At 47.1% G+C, this 2,806-nt stretch overlaps 1 non-coding gene across 1 annotated transcript; it reads left to right on the top strand.

Moving 5' to 3' along the window:
• Positions 1–1,879: 1,879 nt before the first annotated feature.
• Positions 1,880–1,937, top strand: MIR4770 (microRNA 4770). Its single transcript, NR_039927.1, has one exon. It is a non-coding gene; the product is annotated as a microRNA 4770 (primary transcript).
• The last annotated feature ends 869 nt before the right edge of the window (positions 1,938–2,806 follow it).

Here is a 2,806-nt window from a genome sequence, read left to right as displayed (position 1 = left end):
GAGCAACTCCACTATCTTGAATAGGGGCTGGGGAAAGTAAGGCTGAGATCTGCTGGGCTGCATTCCCAGAAGGTTAGGCATTCTTAGTCACAGGATGAGATAGGAGGACGGCAGAAGATACAAGTCATAAAGACCTTGCTGACAAAACTGGTTGCAGTAAACAAGCCGGCCAAAACTCACCAAAACCAAGATGGCAACAAAAGTGACCTCTGGTCATCCTCACTGCTCATTATATGCTAATTATAATGTATTAGCATGCTAAAAGACACTCCCGCCAGCGCCATGACAGTTTACAAATGCCATGGCAACATCCAGAAGTTACACTACATGGTCTGAGAAAGGGAGGAACCCTCAGCTCCAGGAACAGCCCACCCCTTTCCTGGAAATCTCATGAATGGTCCACCCCTTGTTTGGCATATAATGAAGGAGTAATAATAAGTATCCTCGGTGGAGCAGCTCAGTGGAGTAACCATTCTTTTTTTTTTTTTTTTTAACTTTCTTAATCAACTTGCTTTCACTTTACTCTATGGACTCACCTCAAATTCTTTTTTGTGCGAGATCCAAGAACCCTCTCTTGGGGTCTGGATAGAGACCCCTTTCTGGTAACACCACTATTGACATTTGGAAGGAGATATTTCTTATGATGGGAAGCTGGCATGTGCCCTGTAGTATCGCTGGGCCTCTGCCTGCTAGATGCCAGGAACAACCTCCCAGCGAGGACAAATAAAAAACGTGTCCAGATATTGCTAAACATCCCTAGAGGACCCAGTTGCCTCTGATTTCCCTTGAGTAGCTAAGCATAGCCAGAACTTACATTTGTATAAATGAATGAAAGAAAGAATAAGTCATTTTCCTAACAATGGTTACTTTACATTTGAAACACTAGAGCCCTTTCCCCACTTCTCTTTATGAACACAGAGATCGCCTGGAAAAAGTCTATGCACTTAACCCTTCTACTAGGTGGCTTTGGGTATAGAAGAAAAAAGCCCCACACCCCGGAGCAATCAACATTTAGGAAAGTGAAATCACAGGAGAAAGAGGGTGTCATACAAGTCGCTACTAATTTCCTTGACAAACGCTGTTTTGAGGAGCACTGTTAACTCTCTGAAATCTCTGTTTTCTCCCTCCTGAAAGATTTTTAGAGAGGATTCCTTTCAAAATTGGGTTCCGGGACTCCGTGTTTCCAGTGGAATGCTGTCACCATGAGACCCCGTGACGCACTAGCCCAGGAATGCCGGCAATAGCCAAGCAGAGCCCTGTGCCTGTTCTCTTCCTGGCACAGAGGCACACAAAACCCAAGCAGGCCCACCCAAGTCAGATCCTGGGCTGTGGGAAAGCCTTAGTGAATGAGCTCATTGAAGTGGAGAGATGAAAATGAGGGAGCTCTGAAACTGGCAGGGCCTGCAGAGGATTCCTAGGGGCAATTCCTCTGCCCAGAAAACAAGGGAAGGGGCCTAAAGCCCAAACAAGGACCCTCCTGATTAGTAGGGAGACAGAAAGCTCCACTCTCTTCCCCTCGCCCCCGCCCCCCACCCCATAAAACAAAGCTATTCGGGATGCTTCAATTGCCAAGTAGTGCAACAAATCACTTTGCCAAACGTGAACTCTGAAGTCAGGGGTGCTCAGCTCCGGCAAATGCCACTCTATGTCTGCTCATCCATGCAAGACGCTTTGCAATGAGAATGTTTACACTAGCCCTCCGTAAAGCACACAGTTACAACCCATCAGGAGGTATGCAATCAGCAACCAGGATGCACTGTCTGCTCTGGGCTTAGAGGCTATGAGCTAGGGCCATTTGCATAACTGAGTCAATGAAGGTGGTGAAAAGGGTTTTGATTCCTATCTTGCATGTGGAATCTCATTCTCTCTTAGAGATAATGAGTTATGGGGTCATCTATCCTTCCCTTGGAAAATGATCTGAGATGACACTGTAGCTCCCCATCCTCTGGGATCATTGATGTCTGTAAGATTTTATAGGAAGCAATTGAGTTGAGTGTACCCCCTTTCCCCTGTCCTCAATCTAAGTGATAATCTCTGGCACCCCAAAGGGTGTCAGACTGCTTTGTTGATCTTAATTCTGGAATCCCTCTAATCCCTAACTGGGCTTCCCACAATACCAGTGCCCTGGCTTAAAGGAGGTTTGCAGTATGCACACATCTCTGAGGATGGCTCAACTCTCCTGGCCCCCAAGGAATTCCAGGTATTCCATCCCTCTTAATACCTCCTGAAGTCTCTTAACTTCCACCAGACATCTTGTAATTCAGCCTAGATGACCAGATTTGCGTTTGCACCTGTCAATCAGCCTTTCGAGTTCTTGATGGAGAGAATGGAAAACATTCCGTTCTTACCAGACAATTCCTCTCCATGCCACAGAGCTGGCAGAGCACCTAATAGTGATGCTGGGTAAAGTGGCTCTCCAGGGGCACTGGGCTGCTACAGTTTTGAGGACAAGCACCCACACACAGCCAGTGGGCCCCAGGGCAAGCGCACTGTGAGGCGTGAGACTCTACCCAGTAAAGCTGGAGCCTTCAACCCCATAACTCCACCAACATTTGAAAACTCCAATTGCCTCTGGAAGATACTGCCGCTTTCTTCTCCAGGAAAGCATCTTCTGTCTGCTGAGAGTAATATTGTGCGTGGAAAGTCCCTTACCACGTAGTGTTCAGACACTGGAGAAAGGGAGAGGGAGTCATCACTCTGAGAGAATCCACGAGAGATCTGTGAAGCTGATGGAATTTCAGGGCGCAGGGTGTCCTATTCATACAGTAGACCTGAGTGTGTTCTGCTCACATTCCAAAACAACAGG

Source organism: Homo sapiens, chromosome X (assembly GCF_000001405.40).
Source record: "Homo sapiens chromosome X, GRCh38.p14 Primary Assembly".
Lineage (NCBI taxonomy): Eukaryota > Metazoa > Chordata > Mammalia > Primates > Hominidae > Homo > Homo sapiens.
The sequence above is the reverse complement of the archived record's forward strand: the minus strand, read 5'-3'. Positions and strand labels throughout refer to the sequence as shown.